The 22,961-nt window shown below is 50.0% G+C and overlaps 1 protein-coding gene and 1 non-coding gene across 8 annotated transcripts in view, besides 2 other annotated features; both read right to left on the bottom strand.

Moving 5' to 3' along the window:
• Positions 1–22,961, bottom strand: part of POR (cytochrome p450 oxidoreductase) — a 71,701-nt gene that overhangs the window by 31,176 nt on the left and 17,564 nt on the right. For 6 of the 7 annotated variants that reach the window (NM_001382662.3, NM_001382659.3, NM_001367562.3 and 3 more), the window contains one exon: positions 1,500–1,691. In NM_001382662.3, coding sequence (NP_001369591.2) covers positions 1,500–1,678 — 179 coding nt within the window. In that variant the 5' untranslated portion in view covers positions 1,679–1,691. Of the gene's footprint in view, positions 1–1,499; positions 1,692–8,435; positions 8,909–22,961 lie in introns of all 7 variants that reach the window. The other variant, NM_001382658.3, reaches the window with a different exon arrangement.
• Positions 11,764–11,897, bottom strand: SNORA14A (small nucleolar RNA, H/ACA box 14A). The gene has a single exon (NR_002955.1). It is a non-coding gene; the product is annotated as a small nucleolar RNA, H/ACA box 14A (small nucleolar RNA).
• Positions 18,054–18,667: an enhancer, noted in NCBI's record as "H3K27ac-H3K4me1 hESC enhancer chr7:75566331-75566944 (GRCh37/hg19 assembly coordinates)". NCBI's record gives its function as "activates a minimal SCP1, AML or CMV promoter by ChIP-STARR-seq in primed H9 embryonic stem cells {active_cell/tissue: H9 hESC(primed)}" and the evidence as "EXISTENCE:reporter gene assay evidence [ECO:0000049][PMID:30033119]".
• Positions 20,265–21,093: an enhancer, noted in NCBI's record as "H3K27ac-H3K4me1 hESC enhancer chr7:75563905-75564733 (GRCh37/hg19 assembly coordinates)". NCBI's record gives its function as "activates a minimal SCP1, AML or CMV promoter by ChIP-STARR-seq in primed H9 embryonic stem cells {active_cell/tissue: H9 hESC(primed)}" and the evidence as "EXISTENCE:reporter gene assay evidence [ECO:0000049][PMID:30033119]".

Below are 22,961 nucleotides of genomic sequence, written 5' to 3'. Positions count from 1 at the left end.
ACAGACAGAATGAAAGGGGTTCTGGTCTGAGAATGGCTCCCAATCCTGCCCCTGAGACCTGCCCCTTGCCAAATCCAGGGAGTCCCTGAAGGCAGCAGGCCCGTGCCCCTGGAGTTCCCTCGGCTCAGACCTGACCTGGCAGGTCCCCACTCAAACCTGGCTGCGGGCCCCTGGAGTCTGAGACTGGTGTTAAACACAGCCAAGCGTAACCGCAGGAAGTAATTCTGGCCGCAGGACCCTAAAATCTGGAGAATGACTTTTCCGTGTGGCTTATGGAAATCAATCTTGGAGAGACAGGGATGCAGTCACTTAGGCAGACCTTCGGTATCATTTTTTTCTGTCTACATACCATCTATACTATTATTTCCTTAACGTTTTTCTTTTAACTAATCCATCTTTTTCACTTATTCTTAAAAGGAAGCTTCATGAAAAGTTTAAAAGAGCAACAAAATAAGGCCTGTCCAAAGATTTTGTGCTCATTAGCACATAGCCTTCCAGGTGGCTACAGCCTTAAAAAGACTTTAAAATGCCAATTCTAGGCTGGGTACAGTGGCTCACGCCTGTAATCCCGACACTCTGGGAGACCAAGGTGTGCGGATTGCTTGAGTCCAGGTGTTCGAGACCAGCCCGGGACATGGCAAATCCCTGTCTCTATAAAAAAATACAAAAATTGACTGGGCGCAACGGCTCACACCTGTAATCCCAGCACTTTGGGAGGCCGAGGTGGGCGGATCACTTGAGGTCAGGAGTTTGAGACCAGCCTGGCCAACATGGTGAGACCCTGTCTCTACTAAAAATACAAAAAATAGCCAGGCGTGGTGGCGGGCACCTGTAATCCAAGCTACTCAGGAGGCTGAGGCAGAAGAATTGCTTGAGCCTGGGAGGCAGAGGTTGCAGTGAGCCGAGATCGCACCGCTGTACTCCAGACTGGTTGAAAGAACAAGATTCTGCTTCAAAAAAAAAAAAAAAAAAATTAGCTGGGCATAGTGGTGCACACCTTTAGTCCCAGCTACTCGGGAGGCTGAGGTGGGAAGACTGCCTGAGCCTGGGAGGTGGAGATTACAGTGAACCTTGATCGTGCCACCGCCATTGCACTCCAGCCTGGGCAATACAGTGAGACCATGTCTCCAAATAAATAAATAAATAAATAAATGGAAAAAAGGGTTCCAGCTCTAGCGCTGCTATTGCTGGCTAATGACCCTGGCAGGCCCGTTAACATTCTTGAGCCCCCGGTTCTTAATCTGTAAACTGGTGTCATTTTCGCAGTGCTTCCTGTGAAGGTCATATAAACAGCAGATAGAAAAGGGCCTTATAAACCCCACATAAGAGATGATTAAGGGAGAGCTCAAGCACAATCTAGCAAGAAGGCAAAACCCAAGAGTCACCCCAAAATGCTACAAGGAGCCTTGCTTCTTTCAGCCTGAGGCCCGCATGCAGGACACTGCTTGGAGTGGTGACAGAAGAGGGACAGAGAGAGGAGGCTGAGAGGCGGCACTTACAATGTCTGAATTTTGGTGAACTCGGGGACTTCTTCTTTTTTCTTTCTGAAGAGGAACCAGTAGGTTAGGAGACCCACGATGAGCGAAAACAGAATCATGTCCGTCATGCTGAAAAGAGATACTTCTTCGGCCACCGCCTCGGACACGGTGGAGCTGGTGTCCACGTGGGAGTCTCCCATGTTGATCATGAAACTGTTAGGAGACAGAAACAGCAGATGTCAGCAGAGGGTAGCAGGGTGCCCCTGAGGCTGGCTGGGGTGCCCACCTAAATGCTGGGCCTTGCCCCTGGGGCTGCAGGAAATGGTCACTGCACGGGGTAGGAGAAGGGGCTCACTCAGCCAGGTTCCTGCCAAGACAGCCACAGTCTTGGACTGGGGCTGACATAACAGACAGCCCCCAGTGGTGTCAGCACCAGCCCAGGGTGGTCCTGGGGTGCAAGCTAAGGCAGCAGCTGGGACTGGGTCCCTGGAAGACAGAGAAAATGACAGCCACTGACTCTCAGTGTGCTGGAACATCCTCTAATCCCACAAGGACACCGCACGGGGGGCAGGCGGGAGGAAGTGCACGCAAGAGTGGACCATTTCGCAGCAAACCCTTTCCCCAGCTGTGTGGCTGGCGGGGGTTGCCCTAAACCCTGCATGTTCCAAGTCTCCAGGCCTGGCCCTTGAGTGGCTCCTGATATTCACGAGCCTTGGACTATCCTGACTGGCAAGAGTGTCTCTGTATTCCTAAAACCTTGGGCTATGAAGGTAGTTCCTGTTAACAATGAGATTTATGGTGAATGCCTGCTTTCCTATGCCTGGGAGTCTTTTTTTTTTTTTTTTAAGAGACAAAGTCTGGTCCCTCCCCCTCCCCCTCCCCCTCCCTCTTTCCACGGTCTCCCTCTGATGCCCAGCCGAAGCTGGACTGTACTGCTGCCATCTCGGCTCACTGCAACCTCCCTGCCTGATTCTCCTGCCTCAGCCTGCCGAGTGCCTGCGATTGCAGGCGCGCGCCGCCACGCCTGACTGGTTCTCGTATTTTTTTGGTGGAAACGGGGTTTCGCTGTGTTGGCCGGGCTGGTCTCCAGCTCCTAACCGCGAGTGATCCTCCAGCCTCGGCCTCCCGAGGTGCCGGGATTGCAGACGGAGTCTCGTTCCCTCAGTGCTCAATGGTGCCCAGGCTGGAGTGCAGTGGCTTGATCTCGGCTCGCTACAACCACCTCCCAGCCGCCTGCCTTGGCCTCCCAAAGAGCCGAGATTGCAGCCTCTGCCCGGCCGCCACCCCGTCTGGGAAGTGAGGAGCGTCTCTGCCTGGCTGCCCATCGTCTGGGATGTTAGGAGCCCCTCTGCCTGGCTGCCCAGTCTGGAAAGTGAGGAGCGTCTCTGCCCGGCCGCCATCCCATCTAGGAAGTGAGGAGCGCCTCTTCTCCACCGCCATCCCATCTAGGAAGTGAGGAGCGTCTCTGCCTGGCCGCCCATCGTCTGAGATGTGGGGAGCGCCTCTGCCCCGCCGCCCCGTCTGGGATGTGAGGAGCGCCTCTGCCCGGCCGCGACCCCATCTGGGAGGTGAGGAGCGTCTCTGCCCGGCCGCCCCGTCTGAGAAGTGAGGAGACCCTCTGCCTGGCAACCGCCCCGTCTGAGAAGTGAGGAGCCCCTCCGTCCAGCAGCCACCCCATCTGGGAAGTGAGGAGCGTCTCCGCCCAGCAGCCACCCCGTCCGGGAGGGAGGTGGGGGTCAGCCCCCGCCCGGCCAGCCGCTCCGTCCGGGAGGGAGGTGGGGGGGTCAGCCCCCCGCCCGGCCAGCTGCCCCGTCCGGGAGGTGAGGGGCGCCTCTGCCCAGCCGCCCCTACTGGGAAGTGAGGAGCCCCTTTGCCCGGCCAGCCGCCCCATCCGGGAGGGAGGTGGGGGGGTCAGCCCCCCGCCCGGCCAGCCGCCCCGTCCGGGAGGGAGGTGGGGGGGTCAGCCCCCCGCCCGGCCAGCCGCCCCGTCCGGGAGGGAGGTGGGGGGGTCAGCCCCCCGCCCGGCCAGCTGCCCCGTCCGGGAGGGAGGTGGGGGGGTCAGCCCCCCGCCCGGCCAGCTGCCCCGTCCGGGAGGGAGGTGGGGGGGTCAGCCCCCCGCCCGGCCAGCCACCCCATCCGGGAGGTGAGGGGCACCTCTGCCCGGCCGCCCCTACTGGGCAGTGAGGAGCCCCTCTGCCCCGCCAGCCGCCCCGTCCGGGAGGGAGGTGGGGGGGTCAGCCCCCCGCCCGGCCAGCCGCCCCGTCCGGGAGGGAGGTGGGGGAACCCCCATGTCACCAGCCTAGTTCCCTCATAAGATGCTCAACTGGTCCTTCCACCAACGACACCTGGTAGGCAGACGTGACATGAGTCAACAAAGGTCCAAGTGAGAGTCCCTGAAACAGCAGCTTCTGCTGCTTACCAAGGAGGCTGGGCTCAGCCCTGAAATTCACACTATTCCATTTTGCAATCATGGATATGACCGACTGGGTTTTTCACCACAACCAGAGCACCCAGACTCAATCAGGAAAGCCTTAGTCATGTGTCAGCAATTAGGCAATGAGAGACTATGTTCTAGCTGACTGCTGATGGCTGTCACTGTCACCAGGAAACCATGGGGCTGGTCTGGGAAGCCAGGGCATCCGAGGGTTGTGGGCATCGGTCTACTGCTACACAACCTGCTGGGAACAGGCCATTCAGAACAGGCCCGCAAGCTTGGGTCTTTGCTTTCTCACTAATCTGAGCTGCTTTTCCAATGGCTTGAGTTCATCTCAATTTAGCTTTTTTCTTTCTTTTTTATTTTATTTTTTTGAGATAGAGTCTCTCTCTGTCACCCTGGCTAGAGTGCAATGGCACCATCTCGACTCACTGCAACCTCCGCCTCCTGGGTTCAAGCGATTCTCTTGCCTCAGCCTCCAGGGTACCTGGGACTACGGGTGCCCGCCACGACACCTGGCTAATTTTGTATTTTTAGTAGAGACGGGGTTTCACCATGTCAGCCAGGCTGGTCTCGAACTCCTGACCTCAGGTGATCTGCCTGCTTCGGCTTCCCAAAGTGCTGGGATTACAGGCGTGAGCCACTGTGCCTGGCCTCAACTTGGCTTTTTTGATATGACTTTTTTTTTTTCGGGGGGGGGGGGGGCCGGGGGACAGAGCCTCGCTCTGTCACCCAGGCTGGAGTGCAGTGGTGCGATCTCGGCTCACTGCAACCTCTGCCTCCCGGATTCAAGCAATTCTCCTGCCTCAGTCTCCTGAGCAGCTGGGATTACAGGCATGTGCCACCACACCCGGCTAATTTTCTGTATTTTTAGTAGAGATGGAGTTTCACCATGTTGGTCAGGCTGGTCTCAAACTCCTGACCTCGTGATCCTGCCTCGGCCTCCCAAAGTGCTGGGATGACAGGCGTGAGCCACTGCACCTGGCCAGCTTTTTTGATATGACATTAAAGGACAAAGTGAATTCTGTTGTCCCCAGAGAAAACTATTTATATTTAATCTTATAAACACATTTAATATTTACTTAATGCTAGTCATATCAGGATCTCTGTCAAGCTTATGAGCCACCTGTCACATTTTCATAGAACCAGACAGAGAGGCATTTAGGATCTGCTCTGACAGATTCTGGAAGGACTTGTCCCACAGAGTCATGAGGCAGCAGACAGTCAGGGCCCCACTGGAACCAGTCAGGAGTGCCATGGTGACACAGGAGCTCCCCTAGCTGTCTAGCTGTTATCCATCACAAGGCAGCAGCCAAGAAACTCGCGCTCCCTGTCCCTCACCCTCCTCCCTTCTAACTCCCCAAGTGACCGGTCCCCTCATTTTCCAGAAGAGATCTAATGCCCATGATGTGAAGTCCTTCTCAACGCAGACTCAAGCTGATTGCATAACTCATGGCAGTTTCTATTAATAAATCGACGACGCTGGGAGTGAGGTTAGCGGTACATCTGCACCTACGTAATCACCGCAAGAGAATTCTGATGGACGGGCCATTCCCCACACAGCAGACAGGGGGATGCTTTAAAAAGTAAGTCAGATCGTCCGGGCACGGTGGCCCATGCCTGTAATCCCAGCACTTTGGGAGGCCAAGGCGGGTGGATCACGAGGTCAGGAGATCGAGACCATCCTGGCTAACACAGTGAAACCCCGTCTCTACTTAAAAAAAAAAAATACAAGAAATTAGCCAGGCGTGGTGGCAGGCACCTGTAGTCCCAGAAACAGGAGGAGGGAGGTGAGGTGGGAGAATGGTGTGAACCCGGAAGGCAGAGCTTGCAGTGAGCTGACATTGTGCCACTGCACTCCAGCCTGGGCGACAGAGCGAGATTCCATCTCAAAAAAAAAAAAAAGTAAGTCAGGTCATGTCCCCTCCCTGATCAAAACCCTGAGATGGGCTGGGCACGGTGGCTCACACCTGTAATCCCAGCACTTTGGGAGGCCGAGGCAGGTGGATCACCTGAGGTCAGGCGTTTGAGACCAGCCTGGCCAACATGGTGAAACCCTGTCTCTACTAAAAATACAAAAATCAGCCGGATGCAGTGGCGCATGCCTGTAATCCCAGCTACTCAGGAGGCTGAGGCTGGAGAATCATTTGAACCCAGGAAGCGGAGGTTGCAGTGAGCTGAGATCACACCACTGCACTCCAGACTCCAGCCTGGAGTGCTGGAGAACAGAGTGAGACTCCATCTCAAACAACAACAACAACAACAACAAACCCTGAGATGTCTTCACATCATACTTCGTACAAAAACCTAAAGTGGCCAGGCACAGTGGCTCACGCCTGTAATCCCATCACTTTGGGAGGCCGAGGCGGGTGGATCACGAGGTCAGGAGTTCAAGACCAGCCTGGCCAACACAGCGAAACTCCATCTCTACTAAAAATACAGAAATTAGCCAGGCATGGTGACGCGTGCCTGTAGTCCCAGCTACTTGGGGAGGCTGAGGCAGGAGAATCGCTTGAACCTGGGAGGCAGAGGTTGTAGTGAGCTGAGATCACGCCACTGCACTCCAGCCTGGGTGACAGAGTGAGACTCCGTCTCAAAAACAACAACAACAACAACAACAACAACAACAAAGCCCTGAAGTCCTTACACAGCTCATAAGGCCCATACGATCCGGCCCTCAGAACCCACTCCCACCACCCACATTTCTTACTACGCTCCCCTTCCTCACACCTTGCAGGTCACGCTGGCCTCCTTCTGTTTCAGGGACTTTGCACATGGCCATCTCATTATTTGCAAAATTCACTCCCTCATTTAAGTTTCTGCTCAGATGTCACCATCTCAGAGAAACTTTGCCTGAGAACAGAATCTACAACTGCCCCCTGGCCACAATCCCCACCCTCTGACCCCTCACAACTGAGCTTATCCCCACCTCACATTATATTATACATTACCCCACCACTGGCTCTCTCCCTGACTAGAGGGTCACCCCACAAGGGCAGGGACTTGGCTTAGTTCACAGACTGGCATATAATGAGCATTTATGTCGATTTGTTGAATAAATAAACATGTGAATAGAAGGCAAGAACCTTCCGATTTTCGGGTACCTGGATTGGCAGTGCTTGGCATACAGACTATGGAATGCCTTTATAATCTGAAAACCACACTGCAACTCCATCAGGACAGTCTGTGAGGCTGACTCTATTCCCTCCTCTTCATGCTGCCTGTCTCTAACACCTGCACTCACAGCTTCTTTCAGCCTCTTCCCGGAGTTCACAGTCAGGACCACACAGTCTCACGCCTGTAAGGAAACTAACACGCAAAACGAAGGAAACGAACAGGAGCTGCTCCTTGAGGCTGTGACTGACTTCCTGCAGCCAACAGGGGTGGGGCTTGGCCCTGAGTGCCCCCCAGCCCCGACCAGCACACTGGGCACTCCCAGCGCTCAGCCTGGAGGCTCCACAGAACAAGAATGTTCCCAGCAGCTTTGACTCTGAAATATCAAACTACTTCTGAGAGAAGACAGGTGCGGTGGGAAGGACCCAGCCATCACTTTATCCAAGGCCCTGAGCTACAGATGAGGCCACACGGGGTAAGCACCTCACTCGGGCAAAACGAGAAACAGGCCCAGCTTCCCACCGGGCTGTGCTCACCGCCCTCTACTTAGGACATGGGTCTCTCTCTCACTCGGTGTGAGCTCCTTGAGGGAAGAACAGCATCTCAGGCACCTCTGTGTCTGGCATGCGGTGCGAAAGGAAGGCCTCTCAAGGAGGTTAAGCTTGGAGGAATCCCAGGATCCAAGCAGTGTGCCTGGGGGCTGAGGCCACAAATGAGCCCCTGGGTTAAGAAACTTAACCGTTTTCCCCTTGACGCGCACACAGACACACACCCATCTCTCCAGCCCCACCCTGAGCCACTCTCCAGCTTGCACCTCTGCGGTCCTGCCCCAGAGCCTGACAGGTGTCTGAGATGCTCCTCCTCTCGAAGCTTCGTACTCATTCTTCAGACCTCAGCTCCACCATCCCCTCCCCAGCACACACTTCCTTGGCGCAGAATCCAGGGCGCAATAACTACTCAAGGGAATGAAGGGAATCGGTGAATGCATTATGACACGTGCAACACAAAATGTGCAGAAATCAAAAACATTTAAGCGCAAAGATTTAAAACACACATTGGGGCCGGCCGTGGTGGCTAACGCCTGTAATCACAGCACTTTGGGAGGCTGAGGCAGGCATATCACTTGAGGTCAGGAGTTTGAGGCCAGCCTGGCCAACATGGTGAAACCCCGTCTCTACTAAAAATACAAAAATTAGCTGGGCGTGGTGCTGCGAGCAGGTCATGGTGGCAGACACCTGTAATCCCAGCTATTTGGGAGGCTGAGGCAGGAGAATCGCTTGAACCCGGGAGGCGGAGGTTGCAGTGAGCCAAGATCGTGCCACTTGCACTCCAGCCTGGGCAACAGAGCAAGACTGTCTCAATCAATCAATCAATTAACAAATAAAACACACATTGGGCTTCCAGTGTACCTGTCTGGACAGATCCCAAATGTCCTTCGTTTGTGGAGTCCCTGGTATCTCAGCAAATTTTTAATGGTATCCGTAGGCCAAAAAAAAATGCCTAACAGTTCCACGTATAGTTAGGTCTGAACAACCACTGCAAACCCAGCTTCGCAAAGATGTAAAATCCTAAGAAGGAATGCAGCAAGGATCTCACGTTGGAACCGTGAACTGTCCCAAGCTAGCACTTCGCATGGAGTTCAACAGACTTGAGCGTCCGCCGCATTGAGAATGATCACTTGTGAGTTTGCTGCAGTGCCCTGGCACAGTTTGGGAGCCACCTCTGCTATGCCAAATACTCTGATGGGAAAACTCTGGCGGTCTTGACTGACAACTCTCTTCCGGGTCAGGCAGTCCCTACAATCGCTCCGAGGAGGTTCTGGAAGCCTGTGTGAGCCTTCTGCCCTGAAAGAGTCTTTAATCTCTGAGTTTCTTCTTTATACCTTCAGCAAAAGGAACAAGAGACAAGGCAGAGCTCATGGGGCCAAACACAGTATCAATCCAAACAGCAAACAAGAACTAGACCAGGCTCTTGCCACAGCCCCGCCACACCAGCTGGCTGGGACCCCAGACACACCCCTTACCAACAGAAGGCTTTCATGTTCTCATCTGTAAAATTAGGTACAGAGCTGGGTGCAGTGGCTCATGCCTTTAATCTCAGCACTTTGGGAGGCCAAGGCGGGCAGATTACTTGAGCTCAGGAGTTTGAGACCAACCTGGGTAACATGGCAAAACCCCACTTCTACCACAAAATACAAAAGTTAGCCAGGTGTGACGGTGCGCACCTGTAGTCCCAGCTATGTGGCAGGCCGAGGTAGGAGGATCACCTGAGCCCAGGAGGTTGAGGTTGCGGTGAGCCATAATCACACCACTACACTGTAGTCTAGGCAACAGAGTGAGGTCCTGTCTCAAGAAAAAATTAGGCACAGAAAAAGGCACATGTCAGAATACCAGCCAACTAGATCTCCCCAACTCTAAATAGAGCAGACCTGACTTTTATTATAAATTAGGTCTCTACATGTTTTCATTATTATAAAATACAACATACAGAGAAGGGTAAAAACTATGCATGTATAGCTTGACCACGATTCCCTGTCAATTTCGGTAGCTGGCTGGTTCCCACCAAGGTAGCAATCAAGGGCAACAGCTCCAGTCCCTCCCACACACCACTGAGCAAGATGGACAAATAAATCAGGGAGCACACAGGCTGGGGGGCACTGGCAGGAGCCTCACCAGCTTCTGAAAGGGAGAATGACGCAAGAACACAAGGGCTCTCTGAGGCCAACCATTTGCAACACTGGAACAGGTTATCTTCCAGGAAGTATTTGCAGTTTTGCATTTACTGTTTGCAACTTCTGGTCCGTAAAAAAGATTGAGCAACCAACTCAGCACTGATATTGGGGTGAGTCAGACACCCCAATCAAAGCAGTAACAAGAAAGGAAAGAATAAAACTTGTAATTTAGTCAACCCTTTAGCTGTCACTGTCATGTCAGGGCCACCTAGACAAGGCTCTGGCACCAGGGGCTGCACCTTCTGGCTGCAGGGGGAGCGGGGTCATTCAGGTTCACAAGCCCCTCTGCCAAGGTTTAGTGGCTTCAAGATGAGGGAAAACCCTCATGGAACCATACCCTACTGTTGCCTGACAGCGCAACCCACAGGGACTGAGAGGTACTCGGGGAACACTACACTCTCCAAGGTGACCTGTTAAAAAGCAGTGTCCAAGAGTGACTCAGACAGATCGCTCCACAGCCACAATAGCCAGAGTACCCAGGAAGTTTATTATCTGTACTGAGATGTTGGTGCAGATTTCTTTGTGTTTACCTTCTGTGGGGTTCACTCAGTTTCTTGAATCTGTAGATTTATGTCTTTTGCAAAATATAGCAACTTTTCTTTTCTTTTCTTTTTTGTTTTAGGAGACAAGGTCTTGCTCTATCACCCAGGCTGGAGGCATAGTGGTGCAATCACTGTTCACTGAAGCCTCAACTTTCTGGGCTTGAGGGATCCTCCGGGCTCAAGGGATCCTCCTGCCTCAGGCCTCCTGAGTAGGTGGGACTACAGGTGTGCCTCACCACACCTGGCTAATTTTTGTATTTTTAGTAGAGACAGGGTTTTGCCACATTGCCCAGTCTGGTAATGAACTCCTGAGATTCTGCCCACCTCTGTCTCCCAAAGTGCTGGGATTATAGGAGTGAGCCACCGTGCCCGGCCGCCATTATTTTTTAAATAACTTTTCAGCCTCACTCTCTTTCTCTTCTTCTCCTGGGACTTGGGTGACATGAAAGTCAGATCTTTTGTTATTAGTCCCACAAAATCCTGAGGCTCTGTTCATTTGTTTTGTTTTGGTTTTCAGTCTATTTTCTGTTGTTTAGGTTAGGTGATTTCTACTGCTCTAACTTCAAGTTCATGGATTCTCTCTTCTGTCTCCTCCATTTTGCTGTGGAGTCATCCATTCAGTTTCCTATTTTGACTATTGTATATTTCGGTTCTAAGACATCTGTTTCATTCTTCTCTATATCTTAATTCCAACATCTGTGTCATCCTGATGCTGGTGTCTGTTGACTCTCTTTTCTCATTCAAGTTGAGAGTTTTGTGGTTCTTGGTATAGTGATTGATTTTTATTGTATTCTGGGCATTCTGGGTACTTTAAGATCCTGAATCTTATTTAAGCCTATTTTATTTTTGAGACAGAGTCTGTCTCTATTGCCCAGGCTGGAGTGCAATTGTGTGATCTCAGTGCACTGCAATCTCTGCCTCCCAGGTTCAACTGATTCTCATGCCTCAGCCACCAGAGTAGCTGTGATTACAGGCGTGTGCCACCACGCCTGGCTAATTTATTTTTTTGTATTTTTAGTAAAGACAGGGTCTCACCATGTTGCTGGGGCTGGTCTCAAACTCCTGGCCTCAAGTGATCCACCCACCTTGGCCTCCCAAAGTGTTGGGATTACAGGTGTAAGCCATTGCACCCAGCCTTTTTTGATTTTATTAAATATTGTCTGTCACCTGCTTATAGGGAAGGAAGGTATCAGTTCATTGCTGTCAGGCGAGATTCAGTCTCCCTCCTGGGCCTCTGCTGACAAACCCTAGCTTGGAGAGGGAAGACAGCACATGATCTCCACTGACACATGGGGTGGGGCTCCCTGGTTCCGCCAGGTGGTGATGAAGTCCTGACTCACACTGGGCCTCCTCTAATGTCACTCCCAAGGAGAGCACGTTTCCTTGCTTCCTTGAAGAGTCGAGGTTTCCTTGGCTATTTTTTTTTTAAGTTGATAATTCTCCCTTTTGCAAATTTCCCTTAAAAGATGTTGCAGGTATGAAATAAGACTGAGCCACAGGAGACGCGCAGCCCTTTGGACTTTCCTGCAATTTCTATAGCATTCGCTCATATCTTGGAAGCATTTACAGGGAAGCCACCAAGAGGGTTTAAGAATGCAATTCCTTGGCTCTTGATGAATCTAAAGACGTTACCAATACTTTTCAGTTGTTGTTTACTTGGGGAGTCAATACCAAGTTTGAAGAATTAGCATGAAACAACTACAAATAAGAGCATTTTCAAAGAAGTTGAGAAAAGTTTAGTACAATCTGAAATGGAATCCACTAAGATGTGTTATAATGAATGTGGGGGGCAGAAAAAGGCTTAGTTGGAGCCTATGGTTGTTCACTATATTATTCACCAGCAGATATTATGCAAAAAATTTGAATCTATTATATGTGATCGAACAAGGGAATGTCAACAGTATCTGCTCTCATGGACTTAACCTAAGTTGGTCTTAAGGATTTTTGTCAAAAATAGAAGCTGAATATCCTAACTGGCCTACCATACAGCAGTTCAGCAGCTTAGCAGTGGTAAAGTCTGGTGTGACTATTTTGAGCTCAGAGTGAATATTAAATCTTTTCTGAACAAGAATAACTGAAAAGTACTGCCCTCTTAGTCTAAAAATAAAAATAAAAAATAAAAAAAGAGAGGGCCGGGCACGGTGGCTCATGCCTGTAAACCCAGCATTTTGGGAAGCCGAGGCAGGCGGATCACAAGGTGAGGAGATCGAGACCATCCTGGCTAACACGGTGAAACCCCATCTCTACTAAAAATACAAAAAATTAGCTGGGTGTGGTGCCACGTGCCTGTAGTCCCAGCTACTCAGGAGGCTGAGGCAGAAGAAACACTTGAACCTGGGAGGTGGAGGTTGTAATGAGCCGAGATCATGCCACTGCACTCCAGCCTGGGTGACAGAGCAAGACTCCATCTCAATAAAAAAAAAAAAAGAAAAAGAAAAAAGAAAGAACTGCCCTCAACCACTATTACCAAATACTAAATCGCTTTGGAAATTAGCTTTTGCTGCAGACTTGATGTTTCTTAATGAGGCCAATCTAAAATTATAAGGCAAAACAGCAGTTATATGCAAAACTTATATTGCGGTAAAGTCATTTCAATGAAATTAACATTGTATGAATCACAAGTAATGTCAACCTGCGCCATACAATTCCTAGACTGTCAAGGTTAGAACAAGTGAAAAACCTTTGCACATTTTTTTGAGCTCAAACCTTGAGCTCAAAAAAAACAAAAACTTTGAGCTGCTAGTTCTAGCCCTAGCAGCGTTTTTCAGATCTTGATCTAAGTATGAAGGAAATTCCCATATTTTAAAATCCATTTAACTGTACAATTGAGCAGCTCTCATCTAACCTTCAATTGGAAGTGGCTGATCTGCAATGCAATAATGCAAAAAGGCAAATATCAAGAGGGGAATCTAAAAAAAAAAATCTATAAATGCTGTCTTCCAATGATTAAAATGCCCCATCAAAATTTATGCTCCCTGACCAATATAACTTGGCAGTACCTATTTGTGTGAAAAGATATTTTCAAAGATGTCACCTATACAATCTCATTACAGATGAGCACTGACACGGGGATATTTGCAACAGATTTTGATGTTTGGGAACACTAATTCAGAACCCCAATGAAACAAAATTGTTTTCTGTTTTTTGTTTTTTTGAGACTGGGTCTTGCTTTGTCACCCAGACTGCAGTGCAGTGGCACAATCGCAGCTCACTCCAGCCTCAGCCTTCTGGGCTCAAGTGATCCTCCCACCTCAGTCTCCACAGTAGTTGGGACTACAGGTGTATACTACCCACCATGCCCAGCTAACTTTTTAAATATTTTTTTGTAGAGACAGGGGTTAGCCATGTTGCCCAGGCTGGTCTCAAACTCCTGGACTCAAGCGATCCTCCCACCTCAGCCTCCAAGAGTGCTGGGATTAGAGGCGTGAGTCATGGCACCTGGCCCAAAATTGTTATCCCTACAAAAATCATTCCATTCTTCTTATTAACAAACCTGTATTAAAAACTTGCACTCAACTGTTATTAGTTATTACTCGAATTTCTTTTAAAAATATATATTTCAAATTATAGAGACAGGGTCTGGCTAAGTTGCCCAGGCTGGTCTCAAACACCTGGGCTCAAGCAATTCTCCCGCCTTGGCCTCCCAAAGTGCTGGGATTACAGGTGTGAACCACCGCAACCAGCCTTATTTGAATTTCATCAACAAAAAACATGGAAACTTGTTGCCTCTCATTATATATAACATCCTAGATTTTACTTCTTGGCATGCAAAGCCTAAAAAATATTTATTACCTGGCCTCTGACAAGAAATAAGTTATTAGCGCCTACTCTAGATAACTGAAGTGCACCTAGTTACCGGAGCTCTGTACTGACTGGGCAGTACAGATGCCGGAGGCTCTGGTTGTGGGAGTCTGAACGGGTTACTTGACCTCCCAGGACTCAGGTTTCTTCTCCACAAAGCAATATGGAGCTGGTCACCAAGGATCATCCTCAGCTCTAAAATTCTACACAGCTAGAGAAATACTTCCGGAATACGTGAACCATGTCCATGCTGTCTCGAGTCCACGCACGGTTCCTTTTGTAGACTACTCGGCCATCGTGTCATTGTACAACATACTTAGGGCCTAAAGAGGCAGGAGAGGTTGCTTGCACACAGAGGGAACCCAGGCTGTGGGATCTCAGGTTCCTGCATCTTTTTGGTCTGTTTGCTTGTTTTGAGAGACACAGTCTCACTCTGTTACCCAGGGTGGAAAGCAGTAGCATAGTTCACTGCACCCTCATACTCCTGGCCTCAAGCCATCCTCCCACCTTAGCCTCCCAAGTAGCTGAGACTATAGGTATGCACCACCTCACCGAGCTAATTTTTTAAAAACTTTTATTTCTGTAGAGATGGGGTCTCGCTTGGTTGCCCAGGCTGGTCTCAAACTCCTGGGCTCAAGCGATCCTCGCACCTTGGCCTCCCAAAGTCCTGGGATTCCAGGTGTAAGCCAGCACACCCGGCCCCTGCATCTTTGTTGTTGATAGTGTTTGTCTTTTCTTGAGGCAGGATGACCCTCACCATTATGAGAGTGCCTACGTTTTTTCTTTTTTCTTTTTTGAGATGGAGTCTTGCTCTGTCGTCCAGGCTGGAGTACAGTGGCGCAATCTCAGCTGACAGCAAGCTCCGCCTCCTGGGTTCACGCCATTCTCCTTCCTTAGCCTCCTGAGTAGCTGGGACTACAGGCGCCTGCCACCACACCCGGCTAATTTTTTGTGTTTTTAGTAGAGATGGGGTTTCACCATATTAGCCAGGATGGTCTCGATCTCCTGACTTCGTGATCCACCTGCCTCAGCCTCCCAAAGTGCTGGTATTACAGGTGTGAGCCACTGCACCCGGCCACGAGAGTGCCTACGTTTTTTTTCAAAAGTCTCTCACCCATTTCTAATTGGCTGCTTTGAATCTGCGTAAATTGGGAAATCAGCTGCTTGTTAGCGTGATATCTAAGATAAGAGTAAGCCAGGCACAGCGGCTCACGCCTGGAATCCCAGCACTTTGGGAGGCTGAGGCAGGTGGATCACCTGAGGTCAGGAGTTTGAGACCAGCCTGGCCAACATGGCGAAACCCCATCTCTACTAAAAATACAAAAATAACTAGCCAGGCGTGGTGGTGCGTGCCTGTAATCCCAGGTACTTGGGAGGCTGAGGCAGGAGAATCACTTGAACCCAGGAGGCGGAGGCTGCAGTGAGCCAAGATGACACCATTGCACTCCAGCCTGGGCAACACAGTGAGACTCCGTCTCAATAAATAAATAAATATAAAATAAAATAAGAGTAAAGAGGTGGGGAGCGTTGGCTCAGGTCTGTAGTCCCAGCTATTTGGGAGGTAAGGCAGGAGATCACTTGAGCCCTGCAGGTTGAGGCTGCAGTGAGTATCCCTGCACTCCAGCCTGGGCAACAAAGCAAGACCCCATCACTATATAATAAGAGTAAAGAGGGCCAGGTGCGGTGGCTCACGCCTGTAATCCCAACACTTTGGGAGGCTGAGGCGGGTGGATCACTTGAGGTCAGGAGCTCGAGACCAGCCTGGCCAACATTGGGAAACCCAGTCTCTACTAAAAATACAAAAATTAGCCAAGTATGGTGGCGCACCCCTGTAATTCCAGCTACTCTGGAGGCTGCTGAGGCAGGAGAATCACTTGCACCTAGGAGGTGAAGGTTGCAGTGAGCCAAGATCATGCCACTGCACTCCAGCCTGGGCGATAGAATGAGACTCTGTCTCGAAAAAAAAAGAAAAAGAGTAAAAGAGTAAAGAGGTTCTTTGAAGACTAGCATCTTCTGTATTTAAAAAAAAAAAAAAAAAAAAAAGCTGTTGAGTAGGGCCTGTGGGGCCTTCTTATTCACAGACTTTGTGAAATCCATTCCAGAAACTCTGAGTTGCTTCCGGATTCTCAGATGTGCTAGAGATGTACTCCGAAAGCCTTGCAGGCCACGGCTCTGTGTGGCTAAAAGTACTGAGCACTCCCACCAAAGCAGGCCTGGAACCCGCACGAGGGCTCCGCTGGCCTGTGAGGCCCAAAGCACTAAGGATGCCAGGGAGTGCGAGGCAGGCAGGCTCCTAATCCCACAGAGCTTACAGTCTGGAAAGCCTCTAGACAATGTTCAGGTACAAAAACGTCATGTCGAAGGACATGCTTCTGTCACTCTTACGTCCATGCGTGCAGCAAACAGCTGAGGAGCACCTGCTGCACTCCAGGAACTGTGTGGGTTCAGGCAGGAGCAGACATGCCAACCTTGCCCCAAGGTGTCCTCCTGCTATGAGAAAGGGCAGACCTATCCCAACAGTCACGGCTGCATGGGGAGGCCAGGTGCAGGGGAAATAGAGCTGGAAGGAAAAAGCAGGCATGACAGTCTGAAACAGTCAAGGAAGGGGCTCCCAGAGGCCAACATCTGGGCTGGATTGTGAAGAATGATCAGGGTCCACCAGTCAGATTAGGGGGATGAGCGAAGCTACCGATAGAGGAAGCGTGTACCAGAGCCTAGAACACGAGAAACTCGGGGTCTGGGGTAACTCAAGTGTGGTGCAATGGGATGTGTTTTTATGTGGGGATGCATAGATGGCGAATAAGAGATAAGCATTCATTCATTCACGGAACAGGCTGGAGTCACCAAGGCTGCAGTGCAGTGGTGTGATCACAGCTCACTGCAGCCTCTAACTCCTGGGCTCAAGCAATCCTCCTCCCTCAGCCTCCTGCATAGCTGAGACCATAGGCATGCACCACCATACCAGCTGATTTTTTAAATTTTTTTGTAGAGATGGGGTCTCACTAAGTTGCCCAGGCTGGTCTCAAACTCCTAGGCTCAAGCAATCCTCCCATCTTGGCCTCCCAAAGTGCTGGGATAACAGGTAAGAGCCACCACACTCGGCCGAGATAAACTTTTAAGAGACACCCAGATGAGTGCGTAAGGGCCTAGGGGCCTGTATGCCAGTCTAAGGTGTTTGGCCCTGGGGAAGCTGGTGAGGACAGGGCAAGGGGGTGCTGTGATCAGAATGCTGCTACAGGAAGGTACTACTGTACAACGATGCCTGCACCCCTAATATCAATGCAGTCACGGGGCTTTCACCAAGGTATCCTGGAGAACATTCTCCACTGAAGATGGCCATGGCCAAACGCTCCCAGCTGATGGCCTTTTCCCCACACAACAGGACTTAATTTAGAAACACATGACCAGCATGTGCCCGATGCAATGACGTGAAAGGAGGAAGGCAGCTGCTGAGTCAGATCTGTGCAAGCGTGACTGGGGGGACAGGAGGGACAGCAGGCGAACAGTGGGCATGACTCAGCACAAATCGAACTGACCAGGCCCACAGGGGCTGATGCTGCAGCTGCAGCTCCCCGTGCCTGCTTCTAGCAGCATCTCTGCGGCCTTGGCTCCTTGGCTTGAATGCCAAGGGGACGAGACCACAGCTCCCCTAAGCTCCAGGGCATTGCATGGATATAATCCAGCGTCAACATTAAAAGGTGGCACAAGGTGATTTACAGGCACAAAACTCTCCACAGGAGTTCACGCTGGTTCATCCTCCTGACCATCCCCACTTTTGCCTCAATTGTTTTTTTTTTTAGATGGAGTTTTGCTCTTGTCGCCCAGGCTGGAGTGCAATGGCACGATCTCGGCTCACTGCAACCTCTGCCTCCCAGGTTCAAGCGATTCTCCTGCCTCAGCCTCCCGAGTAGCTGGGATTACAGGTGCCTGCCACCACGCCTGGCTAATTTTTGTATTTTTAGTAGAGATGGGGTTTCGCCATGCTGGCCAGGCTGGTCTCAAACTCCTGACCTCAGGTGATCCACCCCCTCAGCCTTCCAAAGTGCTGGGATTACAGACGTGAGCCACCAAACACGGCCTTCTTTTTTTTTTTTTTTTTTTTTTTTTTGAGACAGGGTCTGGCTCTTGTCCCCAGGCTGGAGTACAGTGGCACAATCTAGGCTCACTGCAACCTCCGCCTCCCAGGTTCAAGCAATTCTCCTGCCTCAGCCTCCCAGGTAGCTGGAATTACAGGCACCCGCCAACATGCCTGGCTAATTTTTGGTTTTTTTGTTTTTTTTTTTTTTTTGTAGAGATGGGGTTTCACCACGTTGTCCAGGCTGATGTCAAACTCCCGATCTCAACTGATCCACCTGCCTTGGCCTCCCAAGTGCTGGGATTGCAGGCATGAGCCACCAAGCCTAGCTGATTGCCTCAATTAATTTTGAATAAAAATATAGAAAACAGAAACAGCGGCCGGATGCGGTGGCTCACGCCTGTAATCCCAGCACTTTGGGAGTCCGAGGCAGGCGGATCACGAAGTCAGGATATCGAGACCATCCTGGCTAGCACGGTGAAACCCCGTCTCTACTAAAAATACAAAAAAATTAGCCGGGTGTGGTGGCGGGCGCCTGTAATCCCAGCTACTTGGGAGGCTGAGGCAGGAGAATGGCATGAACCCGGGAGGTGGAGTTTGCAGTGAGCCAAGATCGCGCCACTGCACTCCAGCCTGGGTGACAGAGCAGGACTCGGTCTCAAAAAAAAAAAAAAAAAAAAATTAATAATAATAAGAGAAACAGAGCCAGGGGTCTTGCTTTACTTTTCTCAAATCTGGGCAGATCAGTTCTGAAGTCGGCTTCTGCCTCCAGCGCAGGGGCAACAGTCTGGAGAGATCACCTGGAGGCAATCAGAATGCCACCTGCCCCCCAACCCCCTGCCCACACACGCATGTGTTACAATTCCTACAGCAAGTCCACGGCAGCAAGCCCACAGCATGGGCAGTGCTACTCCCTCCTCCTTTACCGAAATGAGAATAGGATGGGCCGAAGTCAACATGGCTTCCCCAAAAGGGAAGGCACACTAAGGATTCTTTAATAGAATTCCAAATGAGCTCCACATTGAACATCAAAGACAAACTGCAACACTCAGAAAGTGGCTCTAGGGCACAGTAGTCCCCAACACCTGTCACAAGAGAAACAGGCATAGTGGCTCACGCCTATAATCTCAGCACTTTGGGAGGCCGAGGCTGGAGAAGTGCTGAGGCCAGAGGTTCGAGACCAGCCTGGGCAACAAAGTGAGACCACCCCCTCCATCTCAAAAAAAAAAAAAAATTATCCAGGTGTCGCAGCATGCACCTGTAGTCCCAACTACTCAGGAGGCTGAGGCAGAAGGATTACTTAAGCCCGGGAGTTAGAGGCTGCAGAGGCTGCAGTGAGCCATGATGATTGTGTCATTGCACTCTAGCCTGGGTGACAGAGCGAGACCATCTCTCAAAAAAAAAAAAAAAAAAAAAAAGAAAGAAAGAAACAGTAAAGACACTGGAAAAGTTAATCCTAAGAAAAGAAGATTCAGAGGTACTTGATCCCTTCTTTAGGTGGTCAGAAAACTGCCAAAGGGAGAGGCCTGGCATTCAGAAATAGGAGTGGTCATAGAGGAGAGAGGTTTACAACCCCTCCAAGCAAAGACGTTCTAATAAAGGAGTCTGAACATAGAATGCGCTATTGGGGGAGTGGCTCCCCATCATGGGAGATGTGTCACACGAGGCTGGGTCACAAGGACTTAATGACAGAAAGTGCCTGCACACCAAGGGCCTGGGAACAGACCAACCAAATTAATATTAATTAATCTGAGCTGGCTGATTGGTGATGATGCCTGGTGAAAAATCCCAAGTGTCTGACCTGAGTTAATAAATACAGATCTCTGTCTTTGAAACACACACACACACACACACACACACACACACACACACACACACACACACAAGCCCCGAGCAGCCCTTGGAAAAAGGCAGGAAGGGAGAAGTACCAACCCTCTCAATTAAAAAACCGGTCCCTCCAGCCAGGCGCAGTGGCTCAAGCCTATAATCCCAGCACTTTGGGAGGCCGACGGGGGCAGATCACCTGAGGTCAGGATTCGAGACCAACCTGGCCAACATGATGAAACCCTGTCCCTACTAAAAATACAAAAATTACCTGGGCATGGTGGTGGGTGCCTGTAGTCCCAGTTACTTGGGAGGCTAAGGCAGGAGAATCGCTTGAACCCAGGAAGTGGAGGTTGCAGTGAACTGAGATAGCGCCAATGCACTCCCACCTCGGCCTCCCATAGTGCTGGGATTACAGGTGTGAGCCACCGCACCTGGCAGACAGTCATTAAATCTTAAAGCTCCCAAATAATCTCCTTTTGACTCCATGTCTCACATCCAGGGCGTGCTGGTGCGAAGGGTGGGCTCCCAAGGTCCTGGGCAGCTCTGTCCTGGTGGCTTTGCAGGGTTCAATCCGAGGCTGCTCTCACAGCCTGTGGCTTTTCCAGGGACAGGTTGTAAGATGCTGGTGGATCTACCATTCCGGGGTCTGGAGGACAGTGGCCCCCTTCCCACAGCTCCACTAGGCAGTGCCCCAGTGAGAACTCTGTATGGGGCCTCCAGTCCCACATTCCTCTCCTACCAGAGGTTCTCGGTAAGGGGTCTGCCCCTTTCCCAGGCTTTCCCATACATCCTCTGAAATCTAGGTGGAGGCTGCCAAGCCTCCCTCACTCTTGCATTCTGTCCACCCACAGGCTCACCACCACATTGAAGCGGCCAAGGCTCATGGCTTTCACCCTCTAGTGTGGCAGCCTGAGCTGTATCTGGGCCCCTTTGAGCCAAGGCTGGAAGCTGAATGGCCAGGGATGTGAGGAGCAGTGTCCTGAGGCTGTCCCTGGCACTGGGCCTGAACCACAAAGCATTCTTCCCTCTGAGGCCTCCACAACTGTAATGGGAGGGGCTGCCGGGAAGGTCTCTGAAATGCCTTCAAGGCCTTTTTTTCCCCACAGTCTTGGCTATCAGCACTTGGCTCCTTTTTAAATCTACAAATCGCTCTAGCAAGCGGTTGCTCCACAGCCTGCTTGAATTCTCTTGAAAAAGTTTTTTCTTTCTGTCACATGGCCAGCCTGCAAATTTTCCAAACTTACATTCCGCTTCCCTTTTAAATATAAACTCCAACTTTAAGTCATTTCTTTGCTCCCACATCTGAATGTAGGGTAGTAAAAGCACCCAGGTCACCTCTTTTTTTGTTGTTGTTGTTCACTCTGTTGCCTCGGGTGGAAGCTGGATCTTGTTATAAGGGAATTATACAAACCCAAACCAAACTGTGAGACGTTGACAAAGACACGGCCTCACATTTTCAAAAATGTTAAGGCCATGAAAGATAAACAAAGACTGAGTGATCTAAGACACACACACACACACACACACACACACACACACACACACACACACACACTCTGAGGTCTTGGACCAGGAAAAAAACATATTTTTTCTGATGTAAAAGATATTAACGGCAAAATGTAAAGAAACTCTATGATTAGACAACACAGGATATCAATGTTAATTTCCTGCTATTGATCACTGTATTTTGCTTACCAAAAAAAAAAAAACTGTCCTTGCCTTGAAGAAAATACACACTGAAGTACTTAGGGGTAACCAAGTATCTTGGTCATATCTGCAACTCATTCTCAAATAGTTCAAGAAAAAATATATCTACACACACACACACACACATTGATAAAGCAAATATGGTAAAATATTAACAATGGGGAAATCTGGGTAAAGGGCGCTCAAGAATTGTTAGCACTGCTGTTGCAACTTTTTTGCAAATCTGAAACTATTTCAAAACAAAAAGTTAAAATTAAATACAGTTCAAGAGACCTACTGAGGCTGGGTGCGGTGGCTCACGCCTGTAATCCCAACACTTTGGGAGGCCCAGGCAGGTGGATCACCTGAGGTCAGGAGTTAGAAACCAGCCTGGGCAACATGGTGAAACCCCCATCTCTACTAAAAATACAAAAAATTAGCCAGGCGTGGTGGCAGGTGCCTGTAATCCTGGCTGCTCCAGAGGCTGAGGCAGGAGAATCGCTTGAACCTGGGAGGCAGAGGTTGCAGTGAGCCGAGATCGCGCCATTGCACTCCAGCCTGGGCAACAAGAGTGAAACTCCGCTCAAAAAAAAAAAAAAAAAAAAAAAAAAAAAACAAAGACCTATTGTATAACATGGTGACTATAGTTAGTAGCAATGTGTTGTACTCTTGAAGACTGCTAAGAGTAGATTTTAAGTGTTCTCACCACAAAAAAAGGTGTGAGGTAATGCATATGTTAATTAACTCAATTTAGCCATTCTACCAGACTTCAAAACAATATGCCATACACTATAAATATATACAACTTTGTCAATTAAAAAATTTAAAAGCATGTTTAGTGAAGAAAATGTGCTATATTTTAAAACATAAAATTAAGGAAAACATAATCCAAACTCTTATTTGGTTTCATTCTACCAGTTTTTTACATGCATATTACAGGACATACTTTTCCTTTTTTTTTTTTTTTCAGATGGAGTCTCGCTCTGTTGTTGCCCAGGCTGGAATGCAGTGGTGCCATCTCGCTCAGCTCACTGCAACCTCCACCTCCCGAGTTCAAGGGATTTTCCTGCCTCGGCCTCTGGAGTAGCTGGGATTACAGGTGCCTGCCACCATGCTCGGCTAATCTTTGTATTTGTAGTAGAGATGGGGTTTCACTATGTTGGCCAGGCTGGTCTCAAACTCCTGACCTCGTGATCCACCCACCTCGGCCTCCCAAAGTGCTGGGATTACAGGTGTGAGCCACCGTGCCCGCCCATGTTTTTAACATGATCGG

This window comes from Homo sapiens, chromosome 7, assembly GCF_000001405.40.
Source record: "Homo sapiens chromosome 7, GRCh38.p14 Primary Assembly".
Lineage (NCBI taxonomy): Eukaryota > Metazoa > Chordata > Mammalia > Primates > Hominidae > Homo > Homo sapiens.
This window is presented reverse-complemented; position numbering and strand designations above follow the sequence as displayed.